Source organism: Homo sapiens, chromosome 4 (genome assembly GCF_000001405.40).
Source record: "Homo sapiens chromosome 4, GRCh38.p14 Primary Assembly".
In the NCBI taxonomy this organism is placed as follows: Eukaryota; Metazoa; Chordata; class Mammalia; order Primates; family Hominidae; genus Homo; species Homo sapiens.
The window spans coordinates 5617113-5632984 of record NC_000004.12 but is presented as its reverse complement, the minus strand read 5'-3'; the positions used below and the strand labels follow the sequence as shown (position 1 = coordinate 5632984).

The 15872-nt window shown below is 46.0% G+C and overlaps 1 protein-coding gene across 7 annotated transcripts in view; it reads left to right on the top strand.

Moving 5' to 3' along the window:
• The window catches only part of EVC2 (EvC ciliary complex subunit 2), a 180538-nt gene that overhangs the window by 76564 nt on the left and 88102 nt on the right, over positions 1 to 15872 (top strand). For all 7 annotated transcript variants that reach the window (XM_047449611.1, NM_001166136.2, XM_017007736.2 and 4 more), the window contains 5 exons: positions 953 to 1192; positions 4251 to 4426; positions 7077 to 7236; positions 9994 to 10448; positions 14303 to 14507. In XM_047449611.1, the coding sequence (XP_047305567.1) occupies positions 953 to 1192; positions 4251 to 4426; positions 7077 to 7236; positions 9994 to 10448; positions 14303 to 14507 (1236 nt within the window). The remainder of the gene's footprint in view (positions 1 to 952; positions 1193 to 4250; positions 4427 to 7076; positions 7237 to 9993; positions 10449 to 14302; positions 14508 to 15872) is intronic.

The window sequence follows — 15872 nt, the reverse complement described above, 5'->3', positions numbered from 1 at the left end:
CTTTGCCATATGATGTAAACCAATCACAGGAGTGACTTAATCAGATTCATTCCCATGCTCAAGGGGAGGGAATTTATGTGGCATATATACTGGGGCCTGGGGATCAGGGGCCATTCCAGAATCCCGCCTACCCATGTGGAGTGAAGAACAGCTCCCTCTGAGATAATATCTCAGCTCCTTACTGAGATAATTGGGGGGAGGCCGTATGCAAATGGATCAGGAGCTCAGTAGAGGTGAGCTTCCTTTCATTCCTCACACAAGACCTCATACTATGCAGGCATCCAAGCAGCCATTTCTAAAGACCTCTTTTGCTTCTCTTTACCCAAAGGATCTCCACTTGGGCCTGATTGCTGGTATTTTTCTCTTCAGTGAAGTTGAGAATGAAAGATAGGAGAAATAATCTTGTGAGCCTGACAGCATGACCCACTGATAGTGAAGAGATTTCCATTTTTTGCAGGCTATTTTCTAGCAGTTTGATTTGCAGATTTCCACCCCTGTAAATATTCTGCTTTGAGATTATTCTAGAAAACATTTAGATAACAGGGGAGGACAGGTTGGAACAGCATATTCCAGGGCTTAGTAACCTCATTATTGTCAGCTTGGGACTGTGTGTGTGTCTATGTGTGTGCCTTGTTTTTGCTGTGTGTGTATATGCTGTGTGCGCACATGTACTTGTGCCTTGTGTGTGTGCAAGTTCTGTGTGTGCCCATGTGTGCGTGTACATATTGCATGTGTGTACATTGCCTTACACATTGTGTATGTGCCTGTGCACACATGTGCATGCACACACTGCATGCGCATGTGTGTATATATTGTAATGCATATGTGCATGCATCTGTGTGTTCATGTACACATTGTGTGTGCACATGTGCCTGTACACATTGCATTGCATGCACATGTAGGTGCATGTTCAGTGTGTCAGTTTCTCACGCTCTCCCTTTCCTCTCTCCAGTCTGCTGTAGAGTGCAGCAACCTTCTGCGGACCCTCCATGGCCTGGAACAGGAGCACTTGAGGAAGTCTCTCGCTTTGCAACAAGAAGAAGACTTTGCCAAAGCTCACAGACAGCTGGCTGTTTTCCAGAGAAATGAACTGCACAGTATCTTTTTTACCCAGATAAAAAGTGCTATTTTCAAAGGGGAATTGAAACCAGAGGCAGCTAAAATGCTGCTGCAAAATTATTCTAAAATACAGGTAATACATCAGCCTCGCTGTGATGGAAAAGTAATTTTTCTGAATTGTTTCAGTAAATGTCTCCTCTCTCAGAGTTCAGTCCTGCCTCTCCTTTGTACTGTGCACTAGTGAGCTTTCTCTTCTATCTCTTGGTGTGTGAGTTTCCAGTAAGCAGGGAAAATGGTGGCTTGGAGTACAGGCCTTGAACTCGGGCTGACCTGGATTGGAATTTCAGTTCCCCCCCCCAGTCTACTGCGTGAACTTGAGCAAGTTACCTCACTTCTTTGAGCCTTAGTTTCGTCACTTATAAGATGAGTGTGATAGAATGCCCACACCCACGAGGGTGTGATGGAAATTTGATGAGCTGACTCGTGGAAAGTTAGTGCTTGGCATAACATATGTTTAATGTATATAGCAGTGGAAAGGAAATACAGGCCAGGCTTGGTGGCTCCCAGCACTTTAGGAGGCCAAGATGGGAGGATTGCTTGAGCCCAGGAGGTTGAGGCTACAGTGAGCCATGATAGCACCACTGCGCTCCAGCCTGGGTGACAAAGCCAGACCCTGTCTCAAATAAAATATACATATATGCATGTATGTGTGCATGTATTGATGTATATGTAGGGTTTAGTATCTGTGCCTGGATATACTTGGATGGATTTGTGTATTTTTGCATGTCAGCTTGAGTGTGAATGTTGTTAGTCCAACAAAATAATTTCTTAGGCGGTAGTGAAAACAGTCTATCTGAAACTGTCAGCATCACTGTGGAAATTCTTAGGAGGCCTGTGTGAGGGATTTTACATGCACAAGTGCATGCACACACAGGCACACACAGTGACATCACTGCTTTACAAGAATGCACTTTGTTGTTTGGCTCCAGCGCTGTCACTGGTGCTGATAGCTTGCTCTAGCTGATGGTAAGGGTAATTGTGAGCAAACTCTTATTTTATTTTATGGAATTTTCTATTCCGACTGTCAATAAGATGTTTGAGAAATGCAAATGTCATTCTTTAGACAGGCTGCCTCATCCAGGTTATGAGCCAACCTCTGTTTCTCAAGCAGCAAGGGTACCTTTGGATGGTGCTGGAGGCCTTGGAGCAGCATCTGGCAGAGTCAGGTCCATAGGGGTTGATTTGTTCCTCAGTGCAGTAATGTGTTCACGGTCATGAGTGCATCACTGTGCTTCTTGAGCAGTGCTTTTTCTGATGTAGTGGACACTGCTATTTCATTTTTATCTTTATAAATGAAAATCATTCCAGAAAGTGGCTTGCTGGTTAATTTTCCCACCTTGAAATTCCCTACTTGTGCTAGAAGGACAGATTCCACCCATAGCAGAATGAGCCACATCCATCTAGGGTGAATCAGGGCTTATGACCAGCCTCTGTTACTCCATTGCTAAGACAGTGGCGAAAGATGAAGTCCAGAGGAGGTGCGGGCACAGGCGGCCTTCCCTGCGTCTGTGAGCAGGTCCTCAGCATTCACCCAACCACTGACAAGACAAAGGCTGGCCCTGCCCATCCTCTGGGGACCTGCAGCTAGTACCAGGCCGAGCGCATGAGGGCTGAGACATCAGGGCCATCCCAGGAGGAGACCGAGTAATCGTCACAAGCCTCCCATTCCCAGAAGGCACCCAGGACAGAGAACGAGCTCCCCCCTCCATTTAATCTAGGTTTTTCCCACTAAATCCTCAGTGAGCATACATAAAGCACAAATTCTGTCATATTCATAGCTTGGTATTCAGACGCCATGGCGTTACTTAGATATTCACAGATTCGTTATCATTTTACTCTCATGATGAGCAGTGGCTGACTCTCAATGCCAGAGCACTCAAGTTAAAAAGAATGCATGCTATTGTGAATGATATTATGCCAGAAAGTAACTCCACAGGTGATAACAGTACTGCCCTACAAGCTTTCTTGACCAGAGCTATGAGAGTATTTAAGGATACCAATTCTGAATTTCCTTACAACATGGGCTCCCATCAATCAGCATGCATGGATCCCGCTAGGTGGAGAGCAGGAACATTGCTGTAACCTTCCTGTTACACGGATTCTGGTGCCAGTGGCCCTTAGGGAGATGCTAGTGTGTGTGAAGCCACACCTGACTGGCCATGCAGCTTTTCACTGACTGGATGATGCTAATTCCCAAGTGTTGAGATGTGGAGATGTTACAGCTCTTATGTGGGAAGGGGAACGTCCATGCTGTCCTATGTTCCCTGTTGAACAAAGCGTTGACACTTTTGGTTATCCATTGTATGGGTGATATTTCCACAGATAGAAAAAGGACAACGAAGCCAGTCCATAGAGTAGTTCTACTGATGTTCCTGGTCTAATTACTATGCCTCTGGTTAAAGTGGGATTTTTGGAAGCAGGCTATTATGATGTTAGAGCACAGGTCCTGGAATTAGACTGCTGAGTTCAAATCCCTGCTCAGCCATTTGTCTGATGTGGACTCAGTTTCCTCATCTGTGAAATGGGAATAATAGTACTGTCTCCCTAGGTTGAGTTAGATGAGACATGAAACACTCTTGGCCCAGTGTTAGGTCCAGAGAACACACCTCACATTATCTAGGTTATTACTCTCCTGTGTTTGGTTACGTTTTGTTCATTTTGTAGGCTGAGGAAAAACCTTCTTGCTTTCTTTGTGCCCATCCTGGTTTTGTCTCCTCTGTGGTGGTGGGAGCTCCTTGGGGTTGGGCTGATGGCTGACTTCTCCCAGAACTTCAGCACCTCATCCTGGTGTTCAGCACTTGTAGGAACTCCACAGGTGGAAAGGGAGCGTGCATGGATGAAGGATAAATGGCTGAATTAGTGAAATTTATGTTCCGTAGGGCAGTGAAGTTGTTCTGATAACTCTTTACCATCTGGGTCTAGAATGCACTTTTCAAAGCCCTCATTTCTTATTTGTATGTAATTTTCTCATAAGCCTTTGTTACAGGCAGGGAGGTTAAAGGTGTTAATTCTCATGTTTCTTTTCTTGTGTATTTTCTTATAAAAGGAAAAATAATATTTTAAATGTCTAGAAAGATTATGCTCTAAATTTTAATTAGGCATATTTTCTTGTTTTTTTTTTTAATTGACAGGAGAATGTAGAAGAGTTAATGGACTTTTTCCAGGCTAGTAAGAGGTATCATCTAAGTAAAAGATTTGGCCACAGGGAATATCTGGTCCAGAACCTCCAGTCATCAGAGACCCGTGTGCAGGGCCTTCTGAGCACCGCTGCAGCCCAGCTGACTCACCTCATTCAGAAGCACGAGAGGTACCACTCAACACTGTCCCAACAGTGCGAACTGTCTTAGTCTGTTTTCTGCTGCTATGACAGAATACCACAGACTGGGTAATTTATAAATAGAAGAGATATATTTGGTTCATAGTTCTAGAGGCTGGGAAGTTCAAGATCGAGTGAGGGCCTTCTTACTTCATCATAACATGGTGGAAGGGCATCATGTGGGAAGAAGTGCATGTGTGAGACAGAAAAAGGGAGTCAAACCCGTGATAACTAACACAGAAATGGCATTAATCCATTCATGAGGGTGGATCCCTCATGACCTAATCATCTCGTAAAGGTCCCGTCTCTTAATACTGTCACAATGGCAATTAAATTTCAAGTTTTGAAGGTGACATTCACACCACGGCACAAATGAACTGCCTGACACAAACCTTCCTCACTGGAGACCCACTACTGTTTATTCAGCGTATGTGCTGACTGCTCCTCACTTATTATTTCTGAAGAAGAATTATCTTGTAAAAATCCTTTGTGTTACAGAATTTTAAAAGCATATGCAATAGTCTAGACATAGACTGTTGCATATAGTTGCAATAGTCTGTATAATGAGCCCCACTCATGGCCAGTTTTGATGTAGCTACACATCTCCACCCCAGATTATTTTCAAGCAGAATTCCAACAACATATTCTGGAGAAATCAGTGATGAGGCTCACATGGACCATGTGATGGAAGAGCCCACTTCTCTTTAAGATCTAGCACACTGCCGGCTCTCGCATTCACCTTTGACACTAAGTATAAATACAGGGATGGTTGTCTTGGATTCCAAATGGTTTTTCTGAGCAGCACCTGGGATCCTGTGGTCAAGTGTATGGTGGTGTCACAGAGTTCTAAGTGCCATCCTTTGCCTCTCTGCAGCATTCCTTCTCAGCTATTCTTTGAGGTGACTTAATTGTAAAGAACAAAATTTATTCTTTTAGGTTACAAAAAGCTCTGAAATGAATAGGGACATGACTATAAAGCGGCTTTCTTATGACAATCTGTTGTTTTACTGTGGTTCCGCTACTAGGTAACCTTGTTGGGACTTTGACCCTCTCCTGCTCTGTTTAATGAGGATTCCGTAAGGTGCAAATTATGCAAACACTCCCCACCTAAATATGCTAATGAATTTATCACTGCAATTTACTTCGCATTCCTGATTTTAATTTGCACTCAAGTGAAAGAAACAGTTCTTTGCCTTGAATTGAAGGGCCCACCAGCTGGTTGTGAGCAGTCACCAGGGAAAGATGCTTCATCTCTTCTTTTCAAATTCTATTTTAAAAGACATAATTATATTTCTAAAACATGTATCTACTACTGATTCCTTCACCTGTTCCTTCCTTCAAGGAACCTCCCTTGAGAGTCTTCCCTGGGCCAAGCTGGGGACTCAGCCCAGGGATGCAGGCAGTCTAGGAATGATAGTGGTAATGCTGGTAGCAGAGTGTACTCGTCAGGGTACTCCAGGGAAACAGAAACAACAGGATATGTAAACATATAGACAGCATCGTTTGCTGTTTCCAGCTTGCAATACAAATAGCTTCCTATATAAATAGGAACTAGCTCAAGTGATTATGGAGGTTGAGAAATCCCATTGTCTGCTGCCTGCAAGCTGGAGACCCAGGAAAGCCAATGGTATAATTCAGTCCAAATCTGAAGGCCTGAGAACCAGAGGGAGCTGATGGTGTAAGTCCCAGTCCAAGGGCAGGAAAAGATGAGATGAGAGGTCCCACTGTTAGCTGTAAGGCAGAAAAAAAAGGGACAAATTCCTCTTTCCTCTGCCTCTGTGTTCTATTCAGGACCTCAGCATATTGGATGATGCCCGCTCATGCTGGGGAGGGCCGTCTGCTTTACTGAGTCCACTGATTAAAATGCTGATCTCCACTGGAAACACCCTCACAGGCACACCCAAAAAGAATGTTTCGGCCAGGCGCAGTAGCTCACGCCTGTAATCCCAGCACTTTGGAAGGCCGAGGCGGGTGGATCACGAGGTCAGGAGTTTAAGACCAGCCTGGCCAAGATGGTGAAACCCCGTCTCTACTAAAAATACAAAAAAAATTAGCTGGCGTGGTGGCACGCGCCTGTAATCCCAACTACTCCGGAGGCTGAGGCAGAGAATTGCTTAAAGTTGGAGGGGCGGAGGTTGCAGTGAGCCAAGATGGTGCCACTGCACTCCAGCCTGGGCAACAGAGCCAGACTCCATCTCAAAAAAAAAAAAAAAAAAAACAAGAAGAACGTTTCATCTGGGCCAGTCAAGTTGGTCCATAAAATTAACCATCACACAGAGTATTCCCTGCCTTTGCCTCTTTGACTTTGTTTGTGCTGTTCTTGACACCAGGATTTTTAATCTACCATCTCACCTTGGAAACTTCTGTCTGCACCAGAGTGGTCCTCTCGAATGTTACTTTCTTCCAGAACTCTTGCCAACTTCCACCCTAATGATGTCTCTCTTGTGCTGAGCTTTCTCTGCCCTTACTCTGCTAGTACTTTAGTAATATCTTAGCTGCCCATTCTTGTAATTCTTCTGGAGGGTAAAGATTTTCTGATTCAAACCAAACTAATATGGAGATGAATGTTCAGGCACAATAGCAGTTAAGCTACAGGTGAGTTTGGAGACCACATTCCTAACTTTACATCCTTTCCATCTAGAGCAGGGTACCTGGATGAAGACCAAATGGAAATGCTATTGGAGCGGGCTCAGACAGAAGTCTTTTCAATCAAGCAGAAGTTGGACAATGACTTAAAGCAGGAAAAGAAAAAGCTCCACCAAAAATTAATAACTAAGAGAAGACGAGAGTTGCTACAAAAGGTATATAAGGCATGATGCTATTTATTCTTTGCATAGGCACTTTCTGATACCCATCAAGTGCCAGGTACTGTGCCAGACATTGCCATTGGTGAACTAGGATCAGAAGGGCAGCTGGGCAGGCACCATGATGTGCCATCTACTGTTGATTGGTAGCGACTTTTTGGAATGCTGTGTTCAGCAGGATGCTACAATTCTTATCCAGCCCAAGCACAGCAGAGGGTCACAATAGACTAGTAATGTCTGCATGGGCAAGGGAATTAGGAGTGCTGGTTTGAGTGACTAATGATGATGGTAGGTGCTAACATTTATTGGCTGCTTACTTAGCACTGTGCTAAGTGTGTTATATAAGATATCTTGTTTAATCTGTATATTAACCCTATGAGGGAGATACCACTGGGTTTGTGTGTGTGTGTGTGTGTGTGTGTGTGTGTGTGTGTGTGTATGGTCAAGGTCAAATATCTAGTAAGTGGCACGCATGGCATGTATTTGGGGACTCTAAGAATATGATGAGGCTGGAGTGTGCAGAGGGACGAGGGTAGGGCCTGGAAGGGAATGCAGCAGCAAGTCAATGGGGGCATGGTGTGCCGTGCTAAGGGGTTACCTTCCATCCAAGGATAGTGGGGAATGTTGAAGGGTCTTCCGGAGGTGAGAGAGACATCAGATCTGTGATTTAGGAAGCTGAGGTGAGCACCATGTCAGATGGAGTTGAGGAACCTGGGAATACAAACCCCATGGGAGGCTCTGGTACTTGGCCGGGTGCGAGCGGATGCAGGCCTAAACTGACACAGAGCCCTGAGTACAGGGGATAAGGACAGATTCAGGGAATGTATGGGACATGCAGAGTGACACGCAAGTAGTTGGTTGACACCATTTGCAGGGAGGGGATGAAGAATAACTTTCAAATTTGATCAATAGAAACTCTGCTCTTTACTACCAAGTTTGGGACCCAACAGAAAGCCATGATTCTGGCCTTGATCACTGATGCATACCCCATCTTTGCCACCTTTGAGCATCACCCCATTCATCTCTGAGCCACTGGTTAAGGGATGGAAACAGTGGGGCCCAGGGCTCCATTTCCTTACTGTCTTGCCTGATCCAAGGTAAGTGTCTAGAAAGAAGGATAGACTCCACATCCTATAGGAGATTCTGGCAGTCTTCTGTGAATATTATTTCTTGCAGCTACTTTTGATAAACATTACAAGTGGCCCAGAATTAGGATGTAGGTCCACGAAGGCAAAAACTTACGTTGCATCCCCACTGTTGAGAACACTGCCTGACACCTGGTAGGTGCTCAATACATATTTGTAGAATGAATGAATTGATTCTCTCTGGTTACCAGGACCCATGAACATGGGTTATGGTAGACTAGTAATGTCTGCCTGGGCAAGGGAATAGGAGTGCTGGTTTGAGTGACTAATGATAATGGTTGGTGCTAATATTTATTGAGTTCTTAATTTGGAAGAGCATCTTATGTTCTCTCCAAATAGAACCGAGACTATCTGTGGACCCACTGTTATAAAGAACACCATAATGGACATCTTTATGCATCTCAATTTTTTTCCCACCACGGGGCCTTTGCACCAACTGCTTTTTCTCCCAGGCAGGTTCTTTCCCCATTTCTTAACCTGATTCAGATGAGACCTCCTTCCTTAGGTCTCACTTAGATCTTCTTCCTTGAAAGCTTTGCTGACCCCCTCATTTAAGTTGTCTCTCAATGATCTTAGCTTTTTGATTCCCCCTTTATAATATTACAACTTGCAGATCCTGTGTGCCTAGCACATAGTAATAACACTAACAGATGTTCATTGGCGTAAACTACTCTATGTCAGGCACTTTTCTAAGAGATGTATGTGTATTAAGTAACTCGCATAATCTTCACAACTCTTCTGAAAGGGAGGTCCTATTATTATCCCCATTTTACAGATAGGGAAATGGAGGCGCAGAGAGGGTAAAATACCTGCTTTGGGTCACTCAGCTTGTGAGTAGAGGAGCCAGGACTGGAACCCAGGCGGTCTGTCTCCTGGGCTTTACCTACTCGGCAAATACATGTTCAGTGAATGGTGAACACATAGGGATTCTACCGTATTTTTTTTAAACAGTAACTTTCTAGACCTGGCACAATGGTTCACAGCTGTACTACCAGCAGTTTAGGAGGCCGAGGTGGGTAGATCACTTGAGGTCAGGAGTTCAAGAGGAGCTCAGCCAACATGGTGAAACCCCAACTCTATAAAAAATACAAAAATTATCTGGGTGTGGTGGTACACACCTGTAATCCCAGCTACTGGGGAGGCAGAGGCAGCAGAATCACTTGAACCTGGGAGGTGGAGGTTGCAATGAGCCAAGATAGTGCCACTGCACTCCAGCCTGGGCGACAGAAGGAGACCCTGTCTCAAAAAAAAAATAAAAAAAATAAATAAATAAAATAAATTAGTTTTTTAAAAAGTTAGCCTGGCATCATGGCGCACGTGCCCGTAATTGCAGCTACTTGGGTGTCTTGAGGCACAAGAATCGCTTGAACCCAGGAGGTGGAGATTGCAGTGAGCCGAGATCGCACCATTGCACTCCAGCCTGGGCAACAGAGCAAGATTCAATCTCAAAAAACAAACAAGCAAACAAAAAACCAGAATAACTTCCAAATGTGAGATTGTTGGGGAAAAGGCTATAAACATTCTGTGCTTCCTGCAACAAAGTGTTTCAGCCAAAGGACTGTACCCGCCAAGCCCCACCCCCACTTAATTTTCTTTTCTGAAACTCCAGCACAGGGAGCAGCGTAGGGAGCAGGCGTCCGTCGGCGAGGCCTTCCGAACGGTTGAGGATGCCGGCCAGTACCTGCACCAGAAGAGGAGCCTGATGGAGGAGCACGGTGCCACCCTGGAGGAGCTGCAGGAGCGTCTGGACCAGGCCGCCCTGGACGATCTCAGGACCCTGACCCTTTCGCTGTTTGAAAAGGCCACCGACGAGCTGCGGCGCCTGCAGAACTCAGCCATGACCCAGGAGCTGCTCAAGCGTGGGGTGCCCTGGCTCTTCCTGCAGCAGATCCTGGAGGAGCACGGCAAGGAGATGGCTGCACGGGCCGAGCAGCTGGAGGGGGAGGAGAGGGACAGGGACCAGGAGGGTGTCCAGAGCGTGAGGCAGAGACTGAAGGATGACGCTCCTGAGGCCGTGACAGAGGAGCAGGCAGAGCTGCGACGCTGGGAGCACCTGATCTTCATGTGAGTGCCTTTGCGGGTCGTAATCACCCCTCCCCATCCCGTTGATGCCAGGGAGATTCCTGCCCTGTGGTTGTGGGGATGGCCAAGCATGAGACACCTGGCCCCAGACAGATGAGATTACCAGCGTTAATTAGTCATATAAACTCAACGCCCCGGGGGGAGGACCTCGAATGTCACGCAGGACCCTACAAGGATTGAGCAGAGTGCAGAACCAGGGCCATAGGGTTTGTAGTAACAAGAGGATGGGTGGCCCCTGGCTTCCAGGGGAAAATGTGATTGCCTTGTCTGAATAATTCCCTGGGGTTAATAACTCCAGGGAGCTACTCAGGGATAAATGGGAATGTGCTGGTTCCCCTAATAAGAAATGTCCCCTGGGGAGGGGACATGATCCACAGGAGCAGAGGGGGAAGGGGAGCTTGCGGTTAGGCCATTCCAGGCCCTGCTAGTTTCACCAGGCATCAAGGCTGCTCATGATCTTGACCTTCGTGTTAGTTCTTCCACCACACTGCATCATCTTTTCACCTGGCCCTTTCATCCCTGGTCCATTTCTCGGGCTATGTATCTTTATTATTAATTCAAGAGCCATGTAATGACTTCCACTTCTGAGTAGGATGCAGTGGACCACACCTAACACTCCTGCTGCAGTAACTAGAAAATAATGGATATGTTTATTTTTAATATTTATTTTTTGTAGAGACGGGGTCTCACCCTGTTGCCCAGGCTGGTCTCGAACTCCTGGGCTTAGGCAATCCTCCCGCCTCAGCCTCCCAAGATAAATTTCACAAGTAAGTTTTTAAAGACATGGGAGAGTGGTGGAAACAATGAAGACAAGTCGGAGTCATATTCCAGAGGGGCCAGTGCCCACAGTTCTTTACTTCCCTGAAACATTTGCCAGCTCTTTGTGCCTGCTGGGATTTGGCCTAGCCCAGGAAGGGAGCCTTTTGTGCTGTAATAGAGACCAACAGAGCTTTTGGTGGTTGTTTGGGGCTGGCAACAGATTGGAAACTGGAGGGGCCTCTAACCTAGCCAATGTAGAATGAGACATGGGCAATGTAGACCAAAAGACCCAGGACCACCACTTAAGTTTGTGCAACTTGTTTAACCTCTCTGGGCCTCAGCTTTCCCACTTGTAAAATGAAGACCACAAAAACTAAATCAAATCATTTAGGTGATTTTGGCAGTACATGGCACTATCAAGTAGTTTAAATGTGAAGACAATGTTTATGTAAGAGCCTGGGCTCATCTTGGATGCTTTAATGGACATAGGATCTGTCTGCAATTTCCCTCCTCCCTTGTAGAAGTTATCTCCTAGAATCTTGCTGGCCTCCATGATTTAATGTCCTTTCCTTTCCTACACAGTTTTCATCCCCAGGATCCGACCTTGCTACCAGGAAAATAGGTCCCCAGGTGTTTGCAAAGATTGATACTATCTTGGTTTGCGTTAAGTGACCTTTGGCCCTTTCCCATCTCTCTCTTCTGTGATTCTGGCCTCATTTATTTTTTAATCCTTGTTAGCTTTTGCTTTCTTGACAAGGAAAACAAGATTCTGTCTTCTCTTAGTCCATAAAAATCAGATCCTTAAATGTCATTTCTTATTCCCATGATTTGCCCTCAACAGTATTTATTCAGCTTAGCCTACATTCCAGAAAATTCTCTTCTCATGTTCAAACTGGCTTTGGACTCTTCGTAGCAAGTGAATTAACTTTGGCATTCCTATTACCAGCTGGTCATTTTCTTCAACTTCGTTTGGATTCGTTTTGCAGGGAGTGTTACTAAAGCAACTGCTGATTTAGCCATTTAATGGGAAAAAGAGAACTCTCACTTGGCTATCAGAGAAGTGTATGATTTTTCCAAGGGTTAAAGAGGATCGACTCACAGTGTACGCAATGTGAGTCTGCTCATATACTTTGCTTATTTAAGATTCTAAAAGGTTGCAGCCTTTATTTCCGAGGCATTATGCAAAAATGGTTTTGCACAATAGATTTGAAACACATTTTTAGAAGCTTTCCAATTTCAACCAAGATAGGGTTACTATAAAACTGGTTGGCTAAAGTAGGAATTAATGAGGAATATCTTTGCAAGAGAAAGTGTGTCTTTGAGCCTTCTTTCGGAAGTTCCTGTCTTGATTTCAAACTCCTTCAGGGCAAAGATCTCGCCTCCTGTATTTCTGTATTCTCTTGGCACTTACGTAACAGAGGATTAAGACAAGAGTGCTCAGGGCCGATGTGGTTTGAAAGTGGCAGGAATAATGACTGAGAGTCATCTCAGAGTTGCTTTCACTTTGGATTCGGCGTAATCAGCAAACAGCGGGGCAAAGGCCTTGCACAAGGGAAGGTGCAAGGGGGCTGCTGCAGTTTCCAAAGGTTGCTTTAAAAATCGTTGGGCCCCATGAAGTGAGGAACCCAAGACGGGTGTCACATGACCTGGGGGTCAGGCCTCAGAGTGTTGTCAGCAGAGGGCCCCCGTGGTCTCTGAAGGTCTCATTCTCTTTCCACGAAAGACCTTTCTAGCAGATCCACAGCCCCACATTCCCACACTGAGATCTGGGTATGGTAAACCTGACTCTGGCCAACCACGTTGGGTGTTCTGCTGATAACTCTGAATTTTAAAGCATCGGTCAATGCTGGCTGCATTGACAGAACATTACCAGAACATTCAAACACATCTACAGCTAATCTTTGTTCAACGAATAATTCTGTCCAGACTTTCTGAGCAGATTTCCTCTTACATCTTGTGGGCCAGAACCAGCCCCCTTGAGGATGAGAAAGCAATTGTATGGCCATTCTCTCCATTAGAGTGGGCTGTGGGCCTTGCTGGAAAGGAAGAGGGACTGTTCATCCATTTCCTTGTCTGTAATTTGGTGTAAGGAACAGCAATGATGTATGTCATTGCATTTGTTTTTTAACACTACCATAACAAAGTACCACAAACTGGTGGCTTAAAACAACAGAAATATATTCTCCCACTGTTCTGAAGGTAGGAAGTCCAAGATCAAGGCATTGGCAGAACCATGCTCCCTCTGAAGGCACCAGGGGAGAATCTGTTCCATACCTTTTCTTAGCTGCTGGTGTTGCTGGCAATCCTTGGCATTCATTGGCTTGTAGACGTCTCACCCCAATCTCTGCCTCCATGTCAGATGGCCTCTCTGTGTGTTTGTCTCTTTTCTTATAAGGACACCAGTTATATTGCATTAAGGGCCCACTGTGCTCCAATATGGCCTCATCTTAGCTCACTTCTTAATTACATTTGTAAATACCCTATTTCCAAATAAACCAACATTCACAGGTCCCAGGTTAGGACTTGAATATATCTTTTTGGGAGCCACAATTCAACCCATAACACTAAGTCACTCAGCATGGTTCCCAGCATGGAATCGATTTTCACTGAATGACAGCTGTCAGTCATTACCCTTTGGAACCAGTCATAAGGGACTCTCATTTCCCTGACCTCCCTGAGCTGAGTTTTGTGTGTCTCTCCTCTGTCCATTGGTCCTACATAGAGAATGCTGCTGGCCAGGCTCCACAGACAGTGCTTTGTTTACACGTCTGTTTCTGAAGTGAGACCAGGTTAATTGCAAGGTCGTGGGCACTGGAAGGCCTGTTGCCTCCTCAAAGGCACCCTCACAGCCTGGCCTCATTCAGCTCTCATTCCTAGCTCCAATACAATGTCCTATGCAGCACGACATGCATTAGGTGCTCAAGGAATGCCTGTGGCAGGAATGCATGATTAAGGAGCCAGTGCTTTTTCTGCAGACATGGATATGAGGAATGAGCTTTGCATCTCTGGCTTCTTCACCCCAGCCCAGCCCCCAGGCTTTCTCTGTGTTAAGAGTGTGTCTCTGTTCTTCCTCCCAGGAAGCTCTGCTCCTCAGTCTTCTCCCTGTCTGAAGAGGAGCTGCTCAGGATGAGGCAGGAGGTCCATGGCTGCTTTGCTCAGATGGACAGGAGCTTGGCCCTCCCCAAGATCCGGGCCCGAGTTCTGCTGCAGCAATTTCAGACTGCGTGGCGAGAAGCAGAGTTCGTGAAGCTGGACCAGGCCGTGGCTGCCCCTGAGCTGCAGGTAGGATGGACCTGTCAGTGGCCGATTACAGAAGCAGGGCCGTCTCCCAGCTGCTGGCCCTACAGGGTCTGGCCTCTTCCCCAGCCTGAGCCCATCTCACCTCATGCTCCCCTATCCTCTCCTCTCTGGCTGCATTGGTGTCCAGCTATTCCAGGAATCTCCAGGGCTGTCCCAACTTTAAAGTCTATAGTGGACACTGCTGGTGCTGTGCCCTGATCCTGTTGCCTGGGCTGTTGCACCATCCACCAGCAGCTGTGTCAGCCTTGCGCAGCCACAATCTCCTGAGGGAAGCTGCCTGGCCTGAGATATTACTCTGTCTCTCCTGCCCCCTCCTCCAGCCACAGCTAATGACTGACTCTGGGTACAAAAGGCCTTTCTATATGGCATAGAGGAGGGATGCTCATCTCAACTCAGGTGGGTCAGGGAAAGAGGGGCTCTTGCACAGGGTCTTAAAGGATGATGACTGGTAGCTGCCTTTTAATGAGCAGCTATTATGTGCCCGAGGGCAGACAACTCTTTGGTACAGTTTTTGCTCCAAAGCCCCCAGGGACCAGTTTAGGCTCAACTTTACCTGAGACCACAGCCTTGCTTGGCTCTTCCCTTTCCTGTCCTGTTCCCTTGTTCCCCAACAGGTTGATCCTAGAGAGACCTCCTTCAGGAAACCACCTGCACCTAATCCCTGCCTCAGGCTCCGCTTCTGGGGCTCCCAACATAAGATAAGGCCTTCGAACTTCTGTTTTCTCTGCCACATATATGCTTTGCAGGCCATTGAGGTCTCAGCTCAAATGCCACCTCCACTAGGAAGCCTTCCCTGAGCACCTGTCTAAAATTACCCTCTCCCTAGGCATTCTTTATCACATGCTGGGTTTCATTATTTTCTTTATCATTATCTGAAATGTGCTGGTTCCTTGACTTCCCCTTTGTCTGGGCTTCCACTAAAAATAAGCTCCCCGGCCCATTCACCACTCAAGGGTGCTAAGTGCGTAGTAGGTGCACAGTAAATTTTGTTGGCTTAAACATCCCACCAGCCAAGCACCAGATGTGTGCAAAACATCGGGGCTTCTCTTAAAGTAATAATAGTTGAGACTGAAAACATATTAAAATTACTGAAGCTTACATGATCTCACCTGAAGTTCACAGCAGTGCTAAGAGGTAATATGGTGTCCCATTTTACAGATGAGAAAACAGCCCAGCAGAGGAAAAGTGAGTGGCCCTATAGGAGGTAGAGAACTGGGCTGGGAGCTGGTGTTTCCTGACTTTAAACTCACTTCTTTTCCTTTAGAGAAAGAAAAAAACTCAGACATATCCTTTCTGAATGTAAACCAGTGGATGCAGAAACAACTTGGAATCTTTGACATTCTTTTA